Raw genomic sequence first — 12747 nt, 5'->3', positions numbered from 1 at the left:
AGTCTGATATTTTCAACATTAGGGATCCCCTGTGGGCATCTCATGGAGACTCCTTTTAAAATGCCAGAGTGTTACCCAGGAGAGAAATTCCCTGGACACTGGCATCCAGTAACATGTGGGTTAGCCAGCATAAAGATCTATTCTTTTGAGGCCAGGGAAAGGGTGCTCGGGACTGTGAAATTTGAGTGGTGGTGATCGGGATAAAGGGACATAGGAATGTCAAATTTTGAGGGAATGGGGGGAGGCAAAAGGACCAAAGTGTGCAGAGCACTACAGAGAAGGGAAGAGAGGGGCTGGCCAGGAGGTCAGCACATGAGCTCATTCACATAGGCTGGGAACACCACAGAAAACGGAGGGAGGGTGACACTCTAGATGTCTCCAGGCAGCTTCTGACCTGGAGCTTACCTCCCCAAACTGTGCAATGAGCCCAAGAGAGACTTGTTTAATCTCCAAGAAGATTTCTTTTCATATGTTAGTCACATGGTATAATATGGACTAAGCGCAAATATTAATATTTTAGGAGGAATACTTTTGTAACAGAGAGTGGAGTTGAGACTCTTCTGCCTCTTACGTCATTTTCATGGGAAAATGACATTTTCCAAGCTGCCAGGAGCCACAGATTTTCATGTTTGGGGATGGAAGAGCAGCTGTATCTGAAGACTGCTGTGCAGGATCCTGCCAGAGTGTCTGCCAATCCTTTATGCTCTGGTCAAGAGAGGGCCTGAGCAACGGTGGGGCCCTGCAGGCTCTCTCCCTAGGGATGGAATGGAATGCAAGCCCAAGTTCTGAAACTTGGAAGTAGGGCACTTGCAGGGAGGTAGAGATTTGAGGGCAGGGAAAGGGAATAGGGAGGAAAAAGGGTGATAAAACTAAAGTGAAGAGCAGCAGCAGGACATGGTACTTCATTCTTCCCATAAACAGAACAATTTTACGGCTGATTACCTTCTGGATTACCTTTCGCCTACTTTCAAAGTGTGTTGCCACAATCTTCTGTCAACAAAAACCAACAGTGATCTCAACCTTCTGTTTCAGAAGGTTGGTAGTTACATGAACATTACTTCTGGTTTGAGTCTCTGAAATAATGATCATACACAATCTGACGATTGATGAGGATGGTATCAAAAGGAAAATTCCCAGTCTGTAAGCCTTGAAAGTGCTTCTGAGGAGATCCTATTTGTGTTTTTGGCTGGCTTATGCCAAAGATAAACTGGAATCTGTATCAGTACAGGTCATCTCTCAAAGGCTATTGGCACACTAGCTGGCTTTTTCTATTACCTTAAATGCTACTCAGGGGCCCTGGCCATGCAGTTATAGTAGACAGCATTCAACTTGTCATTGGCAGGACCGGGTGGAGATGAGAACACAGTTTATATGCCAGAGTTGAAAACTCTAAGGGAAGGGTGGAGGTGTGGTTTTTGCTTATCACATACCCAAAGGTTAACTGAAATTGGGTATACACCTACATTCGAGATCAAGCAAATCATCTGTAATTTTTAGCCGTTTCCTCCTTTAGGCAATTCATATTTCCTTAAGCAAGGTCTTGCCTGATTTTCTGATATTCTTTCTCTTAACACCTCAGTTTGATTATTCTGATTTAAAGAATCTAGCACACAATGAAGATATTAAAACCTTCTTCACTTTAAGCAAACCTCCTCAAAAATTAGAACATTTTTGGGTCATTTTTGTCATTATGATGATGACAGTGATGGTGTTGATGACAATGATGTTGGCCCTTGTTTGATCTAAGCTTCATCGGTGACCTCCCAGTTTGGATCAAACTTACTGGAGCTAAAGGAGACAATCTTGAGTTGCTTTGCTCATCTACTGAGTGCTATCCTTCCAACAACAGCTTTCCTTATTCCTCCATTTGTGTAATAAGGAAGTAGGAAAACTCAGGACTTTCATCTCTTCAGGCTGGTAAATTCGTAGGAAAGAAAAGTTACCAAACAAAAGAGAAAAGACAATGGGAGGAAGACTGCAGGGGACTTGGAGAGTGACACAGGAATTAGAGAATTTAGAATTTAGAATTCTCTTCTAAAGAGAAATTGGCTCTGAGTAAGGCATGGCATTTCCTTTGGTCTGTTAATGTCCAAGTTATAGGTCACATGAGTCTGTATAGCTTTCCTCCCTATCCATGCACACTTGAAGTGATCTCAAGTCCTGGGCCATCTGCCAGCCTGCACAGGCCTCTGGGGACCTTCTGAGTAGAGGTGACTTGAGGCTGATCACAGCTACTCCAGGCTGGAGGAGAGCCAGCTCCTTGCTTCTCCACACTGGACCTCAGGGTCCCCAAAAGGTGGGACATGCTGATAGTAAAGAGCCTCTTTCTGAAGGCAAATCATAAAGACGTGCATTCTTTAAATAAATAAAAGGATGCCACCTCCCCTCATATCTGAATGCACATTAAAGAGCACAAAAAGCATCAGTTAGAAAAAGTGATTACAAAACTGTAATTTATGCAGAATGGAACCTCACAGAAGGTTCTGGGCCATGCGAAAGTGGTTTATACACCACAAATGTCAGAGTCTCACAGCTTCAGAACATTTCCTTGTGAATGAGAAGAGTCCTCTGAGTTTCTCTTCTTGATATGCAAGGGCTGGGGCTGGGTCCCTTCTGCAGGAGTCTGAGGCAACCTGGATAAGGATGCCTCCTCCTCCAGCATCTTTTCGCTCTCCACCCCTTCTTCACCATCCAGTGACTCCAGGGTCACCCCCAGCCCCCTTCCGGTCTGCTGTTATTCTGCCTGATATTACAGTAGCCTCCTAAATGGTCTCTGGGGAAATGAAATTTTTCTTGGGTTGCTTGTTTATAACTAGAGAGTTCATTACTACTGTTACAGAGAATGACTAACTACAACTTTGCTGTGGGGGCAGATGGAGACAATGATAGTTCTGTCACTCTGGAATTAATATCTGGGAAGACATTACTGTCCACTTAAAATCACTGAAGGAATATTGAACACTGGCCTTTTAAGCTCTCAATGTTTTTCACTTTTAAAGGTTCAAATCTTGAGCCGGTCTGCTAGAAAACATTACCTCATCACACTGTCACTGGGTGAAGAAAAAAATTGTAAACTAAGTGAAGATTGAATTTCATACCAAAGCTCTGAGTCCAGAAACCTTGGGGATCACTAGACAAGGAGAATGACAAGAAGACAGGAGAGTGATTTTTAACAATGGTGAACTTGCAAATGAGTGTCCTGGGAGACCTGGGCCACAGAAGTGATGGTGGTGTTGGATGTAATGTCAGCGGAAGTGGCCACTGCAGAGAACCACTGTGTCCTGGTGTGACCAGTCACTCACACCTCCTCACTCAGGCTTTGAATTAATGGGCTGGAACATTTTTCCGAAACCCGCTAAGGAGTCTAGCTCAGACATCATAGATCTGGTTCTATAGTCATCCCTTAAAGCTCACATCTGCTTCTCTCTCTCTCCTCTTAAATTACCATTTCTTTTATTAAATAAAAGCAATTAAAGGCACTAAAAACTCTATGGAAAAAAGAGAAGAGAAAATCCTGGGCTCACTAACTCCACACAGCCATTGTTATTATTTGCAAAGTACATATTTATTTCCACATTTCATCATTTTCACATTTCAATGGATCTCCTATTTTGAGGTGATGCAACAGGAATTTTTTTTTTTTTTTTTGTAGTGGGGAAAACTAAGTTTAGGCAAAATTTAATTGACTCACTGAGAGTCTCTCTCTGGTTGTTCTGTGATCAGAACTCCACCCCTTCTTCACCATCCAGTGACTCCAGGGTCACCCCCAGCCACCTTCTGCTTTGTTATTCTGCCTGACATTACAGTAGCCTCCTAAATGGTCTCTGGGTCTCAGAACTAAGATGCTACTGAGTCTCTTTTATTTTTACTTTATTCTTAGATCCCCTTTTACTCTCACTCAAATGAAAGCTGAATTATGATATAGGGACAAAATGGGGCTTAATCTGGAGAACTGAAAAGAAATAAACTTTTGTATCAGTATATGAGCTAATAAGCCCCCCAACTCTGATATCTCCTTATGTGAGATTTTACTGTATTTTAGGTGCATAAAACTGTAAAGATACTCTTTGAAAGGTATTCTTAAATAGATCTCAATGGGAGATGACTATTTTGAGGAACAGCATCCACTGGGCTCTGCTCCTCTGTAATTGGAGAGTCCCTTTACAGCTCTTGGTCAACAGGTAGCTGTTATAAATGTGTAGTGTCATTTAAGAGCCCCATATTGTTGCAAAAAATAAAAACCCCAAACAAGCCTTCCCATATGTTTCCACTTCTCAATCTATAAATGAATATTCATTACATTTTTCTGTGGCATTCCATCCATCTCCTCTATTCCTTAAATGATGTCTTATTTAATAGGCTTTCATTTTATTAAGATGGTGCATACGAGCAGTGTTCCCAGGATATATCAAATACAATCACCCTTTCTATTTGAGGTAATAACAATCTTTTTAAGAGTTTCAAGACCATTTGATACACGGAGAGAGATCACTGGAGCATAGGGACTTCCAGGGGTCAACTGTTCCATCCTTTAGTTTCATAGTTAGCTAGGATTGGCCCCCAACAATCTGCTCAGAGAGAAGACAACTGACCCTGTCTGCACAGAGCAGAGTTGACTTGCTACATAAATTCATTCTAAGAAGTACATTCAACTTAAGCTGAGATAGAGAATATATGTTTTGAAAAGTTGTTTTAAAGAATAAATAACAATATATACATACTTGCTTTAAGAAAGATTATCATAATTCATAATCATAGAGTATAAAGAGGCCTTTTATGTTCTACATACAAGCTGTAATCTTAATGTCACACACCCAGAGATTTCAGGGCAATGCCTTGTTGCCCCATTGACAATACATGGGAAAACTCTGGAAGTCTTTGTCTATTTACCTACATTTAGACATTTCTCATCACTCCAGGCTCTAATGGTAATGTCTGGTGAATGAGGAAACCCACTTTAAGAGAAAGATACTACAACTGCAACGGTTTAATTTTGGTCAGGAAACTCAAAGTCTAGAAGAGCCTTCTCTTAAGGATCCCTTCAGCAGCTCTGTATGATGAGGAGAGAGCAAAAATCACCCTCCCCTAGGTGGAAAATCTGAGCCACAAAGAGGAAGGTCAGGGCACAGAACCAATGTTTCTTTGCAGCCATGAGACTGCCTTGGCTTCCTATATTAATATTTCTATTCACTATTTTTTCTTTTGAGTAGGTGGAACCATCAGTAACAAAAATGGTAACTAAAATAGACTTCAAGTTACTTGGCCACCCATTGCTTTAAATCATGGCTCTAGCTCTGCAGGTTTAATAAAATGCAAAAAGATACTGTCTGCAGTTTGAGACAGTTTCCCTCCAATAAAACTTTCCTTTGAGGGTATTATTTTGCTTTTCAGCAGCTAAAAGCCTGTTCAAAAAAAAATCAGGAAGGATGGAGATGCTTATGGGAGGGCTCAACACAGTGGGAAAGGGGACCCTTCTGATGGTGGAGGAGTCTGTGGGCACTTCAGTCAAGAGGTTTCGGACAAGCTGGGAAGCTTTCTAGGACAATGACTTGATCATAAGCATCCCTTGGGCCACTTGTTAAAAACAGAGGACAAAACCCCACCCTGTATCTACTGAATCATGATTACCAAGAGAATTTGTCATTTTAATATACGTTGATAACATAACACTTAATAAGTACTGCTTATAATCAGAAAGGTTTGTGATACACAAAGAAAATGAACTTGTTTAGCATATAATATAGTGCCTGGCTCATGGTGAAGGACTCAATACAACTCAGTAAGAAATACTCAATATTGCTTATTGTGGCTCATTAGCAATACAAAAAAATGGTGAATGCATAAAAGAACAAGATGTACTCATAGCCAGTTGGTTAAGGGAGATAGATAACCTAATTTTCATCAGTAGGGTGTGTGTGTGTGTGTGTGTGTGTGTGTGTGTGTGTGTCCTCCTTCTGGTGGACACTGTGATGTTACCTAGGCTAAAATTCCTTAAGTTAGAGGGATTAACCTTTCTCCTTTTGGGGAATTTCTGGCAGGTTGAGGAGATGACTACGCACACAGAAGCCTTTACAGTCACGGCAAGGGCCTACAGCCCATTTTGCTTGTGCATGCTCTAAATCAACCCCAAATCAAATAGTAGGACCACCAGAACCCAGGGACCTGGGGACTGCCTCCCAAGAAGAGGCTGGCTCTGGGGCAAGCTGCCCTTTCGTGGTGGATGAGGAGGTTATGACCTTGGGTCTTATCGTGGCTTAATTCTTTTAAGCATTCATTAAGTCCATGAAATAATAATCATAATAAAATCTCTACATCATAGCCATTGACAGAATTTAGAGTGGGTTTCCCGATGTCAAAACGGAGCAGTTATTAAGGCTCCTGGTTTGTTTTAATTGGACCTGGGCCTTTCAGACCAAAGTCGCTCCGGCCTTTGGAACCATTTATACTCCTTCTGCCTTGAGGCTTCCCACCCCAATTAAGTGGTGAGTCTAGGTGGGGCAGGGATATTTAATAGGCCTTTGGTTTTCTGTAAGCCTTTTATTAATGCTGTAAGTTACAGCGGCTACATACTCTGGGCTGGGTTTCACCTTCTGGTGCTGTGTTCCTGGCTGTCATGGTTTTGTTCCCAGTGTGATTTTCAAGTTGGTTAGTGTTAAAGCAGGAAGTACTACCCCTCCTAGAACAGCCCAGTTTCACCTAGATGGCATAAGTGCTTTAGGAAGAAGGAATGTGGCAGACAACCTTGCCCTTTCTGCAGATCTTCCCAGCAGCTCTCTGCTCTTAACCTACCCACGTCACTGTCCAGTGTATTTTCCAGTGAAAAGGGCTAACTACACCTGCATTTTCCAAGCAGTTTGAATTCCTGGCTATGGCACACTGAGTTGATTACTTTTACACCGACAACACAATGAAATCTCCCTACTGACTTGTCCTCAGTATAAAAATATAAAGGGATACCCATCCCCCCCTTTTTTTCCAGAACTGAAAATAAAACTTAAAATTCTCAGCTGTCATTTAGTATTATTGCCTTCAGCTTGAGAGCTTTTAAAAGAAATTGGCTTCAGAAAGTGACCCAGACCATCTAAAGCCCACTACAGCTGAATCTTGCCAGCTTAATTTTAATCTACAAAGGCATGGGGTGACTTTTCTGCAGTTTTCACACGAGGGCCAGGAGAATGAACTGTTAGAACCTTTGCCGCTTGGTTGACCTTGTTCATTTGAGGACCTTCCACCCGGCTCCTCTCTGCCTCCTTAACAGTTGCTCAAGGAGATGATAGGAATCCTTTGTCCTCAGATCTCTGGGGGTTAGAAGACACCCTGAAGAACCTGTCCATGAGATAACCTGTGTGCCCCTCTGAAAAGTAGCTTCCTCCAGGAATCAGCCTGGGGCCAGTCCAGTAGGGCCTTGGTTTCACCTGGGGATAGCAAATCCACAAGCCAGGTGACTGAAAGGAGACAGACATTCTCTCATAATTTCTTCTCCATGAAATTCGAGCTCTACAGGGAAGAGGATCTTTTCCATATACCGCTAGTGCCTAGAAAAAGAATTGAACTGGGTACCTATGAATAGTCCCCTCACACACAGGCCCTCCACCCAGGCCTGCTCCTTGTCCCATTCCCACCCCTGACTTGCAGTAGTTAATTAATAAGGGTATTTTCTTTTAATAATAACAATGCTGATATGCACCAGCCACTGTGCTGAGCATTTCATGCACAATATTGCATATACTAAATGCACTATATTGCATTTAGTAATCACAACCATGAGCTCCCATGGGCTCATTTTACAAGTTCAGAGTGGGTCATTAGTCAAAACCACACAGTGAGTGGTGGGGTTAGGTTTCAAACCTAGCTCTGCTAATTGGAAAGTCTCTATTCTTACACTCTCACCTAGGTGATCTTGAGCCCTGAGTTGATGTTGTTGATACAGAAATAATTACACGAAACTGAACTCTCAGATTCACATTGTGCACTTGCAATAGGCGAGTGGCCCATCCTCTCCAGTAAGGCCTCATTAGGGATGAGGGGGCCACTTGTGTGAGCTGGACACTGGCCAGCAGCAGGGATGGGAGGCCCTGAGGCCCTAAGCACTTTTGGTGGGAACTGCTGACTGGTGAGATGCATGTCAGTCCTTGGCAGGAAGCTAGGACAGATTATTAAACAGATGGCTTATAAGTTCCAAAGACAGGAAACAGTGGTCATCCCTGGGAGCAAAGGTTTGCCGAAAGCGAATTGTGCCAAACCTCATTTTTTTTGCAAGTCTCACTAGATTCATAGATGGGGGCTGACAGATGTAGTTTATCTGCATTTCAGCAGATCAGTTCACACAGTGTCTCAAAGCACATTTAGGGGAAAGATGGAAAGATGTGGGATATTTAACTGCAATTGAGATGGCTCAGAGAAGGTTGAACAGGCAGCACCCAGAGAGTGCTGGTTAACTTAGCAATGACAATGGTCACTTGTTCTGAGTGCCAAACACGGGTCAAGAATGTAGGAAGAACTGAGTAAATATTTGTTGGTAGTATTAAACTCATGGGGGAAGTCTTCAGTGGTCCCGTGAAAGGGCTCTTTCTTTGATTTGCAAACATTTACAGAATAGACAAAGAGTTTGGGAAGTGGAGGGGACAAGGTCTTGCTCCTTGATCAAGGGGAGGGAGCAGTAGGGTCTAGTGTCTTTCATTTTCTTTTGACCTCTGGAGCCCAGTCTCTGGGACATGGTGATGGGTGAGGATGACTGTGGGTCTTTCATTGTATCTGGACACACTGTGTTTCAGGAGCACTTAGTGATTCTGAGGGGGAGGTTTGAAGACTACTCTGAGAAAATCGTGTGTGTGCGTGTACATGTGTGTATATATGTGCATGCATGTATATATGTGTGTATATACATATATGTATGTGTGTATATGTATGTATATGCATGTGTGTATGTATGTATTAATAGATATGTATGTGTATGTGCATGTTTGGTTTCCCAGCCCAAACATCTAGAACCCACCTAAAACCACCTATCTAGAACCAGATTATCTCCGCTTACCTGTTTTTCATATTGGCTTTCTGGTAAGATTTCATTGAAAGAAGAAGTTTTTTGGCTCAAAAATGTTTGGAAGCCATGGAATCTGATGATATAAAAGGTTCCTTCTAGCTCTAAAAATTAATTGGTTCTTAAAAATTGTGTAGAAGGAAGCTTGCTAAAGGCAAACTCTAAAAAATACTGGTTTTGTCTGCCACTTCCTTTTCACCTCCTGGCACACACGGTCTCCCTGGCAAGCCTCTAAAAGAGCTCCCACCTCTGGGCCTGCCATCTCCTTTCTCTTAAGTGCCTCCTAGCACTCTTCAGGCCCCTGACAGTGTTCCTGTACATTCCTTGTATCAAATTGTCTTCTTAAGTGTAAATGACTGGCTTCCATTTTCTCAGTGGTGATATCTTTGTTGTTAAAAAAGCTTTGAACTGATAGAATATCTGATTAGCAGAGTTTTAAGCAATGTAGCCAAGTGAAGAATTTGAAGAAGAATGGGAGAGAGGCTCTGGGTCAGTAGAGCCTCCATTAATCTTACCTAGAGAAATGTGGCCTTTTGCCCAGGTTCATTAATTTTTTTCAAAGCCACTTTTAAAGTACCTACTATGGGCCAGCATTCTACTAGACTCTACTGGGGGCAAATATTGAGTACAAATAATCTCAGTTCCCACTCCCATATGGCTTGCAGGCTGAGGAGGGGACGCTACTTTACTTAAACATTAATTTGTTAATTCAATAATTATTCACTGAGTGCCTATCATAGCTGGGATGTAGTAGTGAATAAACCAGATGATGTCTATGCCCCATGGGGCATATCTTTAAATGGGTGGATAATTAAAATCTGAGATAAGCATGTAATGAATGTTAAAATGGAAGTTTTGACTATGCTCTGAGCTGTAAGATATTCTAATAAGTTGCCTAATAGGGAAACATCTGTAAACTGGCTTCATGATGCTTGGACTCTTCAGCCAGATGAAGGCTATAAAAGGGGCCTGGGTAGGGCGAAGGATGTATGAAGGGATTTCTTGGAGAGAAAAGTTGCTGTGCTGTGAGTCTCCAGAGACCCTTCCAGTAGAGATTTCATCAGGGCTTCCCTGGGCTTCCCCTCCAGTGCAGTGAGGCTGTCCCCATGGGGCTACTTGGAGAGCTTGGAATGGGTTCCCTGAAGATGGCGAATACAGAGTTCTCATGTCTGAGAAAGTGGAGGCAGCCTGTGCAGCAGGATGGAGGGGCTGCAATTGGGTTCGCCCATCCATGCGTCCTGTAAGTCTTTCTTGTGGACCAGATGTGGGTCGTGCAGAGGAAGTGCAGAGCAGAGTCATCTTGGATGCTGTCCAAGAGGCTATGTAATAGGACAGAGGGACTTCGGCAGTAACAAGCTGGAGGTGACTGCTAGACCCAGAGGCTATGAAAGCACCACAAGCAAACACTGGGAATAAAGAAACATCTGCCTGTGTCAAGGAAACTACTGGAAGGAAGATCCCAAAAGAGCTCCAAGGAGCACCCCAGGGGAAAAAAGAGAGTCAGTGTTAAACACAGGCTGGGCCCACAGAGCACAGACCAGCTTATAATGGGACTAGTTCAAGGAAGGTCTACTTTTTCTCCTACCTCTGCTCACCTGCCCCTACCAAGGAGGGGTAAGAAATTGGCTAACAGACTTGGGTGGGGACTAGGAGGAGAAGAGCAAAATGGAGAAACAGGGGAGAGACAACCTCATCCTGCCTTTTCACAGGGTGGGGTTGGAGTTTAGCCTAGCTGGGGGAGGAAGGAAGGTTTACCCTGGCTCAAGTTGGAGGTTTTGATTAATCTCTCGGATTGTACTTTCTATGACTGAATTTGGAGTTTGTTTTTGAGGGTGGACCTGCTTATAGCCTAAGAATACACTGAACAGTTACAGGGCCTGCCATGGCTGTATGTGGTGGCAGGAGAAAAATCTCTCTCAATGAATAAAATTTACAAGGAGTAGAAGGAAATACAAACCAAAGCTTTGTTTTGATCATGTCACTTGTCTTCTTGTCCCACAAACCAGGTACCAGTGCTCAGAAGGAGAGAAACAGTTACAGAGGAAGTGATACAGCTTGCAGGCCAGGGAATGGCTTGGTTTTCCTTAACCTGGGGATTCCAACATCATTTTCTCTTCTTCCTCTTCACAGGACCCAGAAATGCTCTCCTGGACCAGGCTGTTATGGATGTTCAGGTTCTCACCCACATTCAGCTGTTTTTCTCCTACAGGGCTGGCTGTGACTCAGTGTGGAGGCGCTGCTCTGGCCCTGGCCCCTGTCCTGCCCTGGCTGAGACTGCCTGGCTGTGGGTTGCCCTGGGGGCTGGCAGAGGGACCACAGCAGCTGGGCTGACCCCCTCCCATGCCCCACACTGGCCCATTATGCTTAGTGCCCCCACATACGTCCCAAGGCTGCTGGCAATGGGGGCATGGTCATCCACTTGCGACTTGTAAAAGTCACAGGGAATGTTGACTGGAACCCAGGCCTCCTGGCGTCCAGGCCCTGGCTCTTTCCATGACCCACATGTGGGAGACTGACTTAGGTGTTGCCCCGACACTCTGAAATGGAATTTCTGCACAAGCATGAAAGAAATACATCTAGGCATTTAACAGTGTGTTAGAGACAGGAGTCTGGCGACCCCACCAAGCTGTGCTTCCACAGGATGAGCTTTTCCAGGGTGGAGCTCTGGCAAGACCGCTGGTCTTTGCGGAAGGTAACTACATCAACAGAACTGGCATGACAGCTTACAAAGAAGAGGCTTTGTGGGAAGATATCTGTTGCATCTTGTTGACAACATGTGTCATTTTGTTTGGCACGTTTTAAATGTACAGAAAAAATAGAAGCTCTGGTCCCTTTAGGAAAATAGCTTTGTTAAACCGACTGGCCATTTTTATGTGAGTTAAAAGCAGGAAGCAGATGTGGGAATGTTTCTTGTGTCTCCCATCTCAGGCAACTGGCCATCTGGCTGACAAAGAGATTATAGGCTGCCCAGCCATGAGAAGCAGCGCTTCAGATGGTCCATGTAGTGAGTGCACTAGGCCATAGATTTGAGGTTCTAGTCACAGCTCAATCTGCTCTGTGGCTTTTAGGCCCCTCCTCTGTGAAACGAAGGCACTGGCTTTAGTGGTAGGTCTCTTGACAGTGATTGCTTTAGGGTTATATAATTTGCACTTTGTATGTTATTAATTTTGTTTAACAGTAATAGCCAGGTGTGGTGGTGGCTCATGTCTGTCATACCAGCATTCTGAGAAGCTGAGGCAGGAGGGTTGCTTGAGGCCAGGAGTTTGAGACCAGACTGGACACCATAGTGAGACCCTCTCTCTACCAAAAAAAAAAAAAAAAAAAAAAAAAGGTGATGTGCACATGTAGTCTTAGCTACTTAGGAGGCTGAGGTGAGAGGGTCACTTGAGCTCAGGAATTTGAGGCTGCAGTGAGCTATGTTCACCACTGCACTCTGGCCTGGGCAATATAGTGAGACCCCATGTTAAAAAAAGTTAGCTAGGCTTGGTGGCATGCACCTGTGATCCCAGCTACTTGGGAGGCAGAGGTAGGAGGATCACTTGAGTCCCAGAGGTCAAGGCTAGAGTGAGCTGTGATCACTCTACTGCACTCCAGCCTGAGTGATGGAGCAAGACCTTGTCTCAAAAACACCTCAGTACTAACTGGATATTGTATTATGTTGTTTACAAGAAAACCCCCAAGAAATGGATACATATGCTGTTTTCTGA

General features: G+C 43.7%; 1 protein-coding gene and 1 long non-coding RNA gene across 2 annotated transcripts in view, besides 1 other annotated feature; both read right to left on the bottom strand.

Moving 5' to 3' along the window:
• Positions 1-12747, bottom strand: part of ANTXR1 (ANTXR cell adhesion molecule 1) — a 236184-nt gene that overhangs the window by 23996 nt on the left and 199441 nt on the right. The gene's annotated exons all lie outside the window — the stretch shown is intronic.
• Positions 442-12747, bottom strand: part of LOC124906019 (uncharacterized) — a 31470-nt gene continuing 19164 nt past the window's right edge. Inside the window, exons 1-2 of the long non-coding RNA XR_007086799.1 lie at positions 943-12747; positions 442-754 (exon numbers count right to left, since the gene is read on the bottom strand). The exon at positions 943-12747 is cut by the window's right edge and continues 19164 nt beyond it. This is a non-coding gene — a long non-coding RNA (uncharacterized LOC124906019). The remainder of the gene's footprint in view (positions 755-942) is intronic.
• Positions 7941-8235: a silencer, noted in NCBI's record as "tiled region #2730; HepG2 Repressive DNase matched - State 5:Enh, and K562 Repressive non-DNase unmatched - State 22:ReprW". NCBI's record gives its function as "represses a minimal TATA promoter and a strong SV40 promoter by Sharpr-MPRA in HepG2 and K562 cells {active_cell/tissue: HepG2 | K562}" and the evidence as "EXISTENCE:reporter gene assay evidence [ECO:0000049][PMID:27701403]".

This window comes from Homo sapiens, chromosome 2 (assembly GCF_000001405.40).
Source record: "Homo sapiens chromosome 2, GRCh38.p14 Primary Assembly".
NCBI lineage: Eukaryota > Metazoa > Chordata > Mammalia > Primates > Hominidae > Homo > Homo sapiens.
The sequence above is the reverse complement of the archived record's forward strand: the minus strand, read 5'-3'. Positions and strand labels throughout refer to the sequence as shown.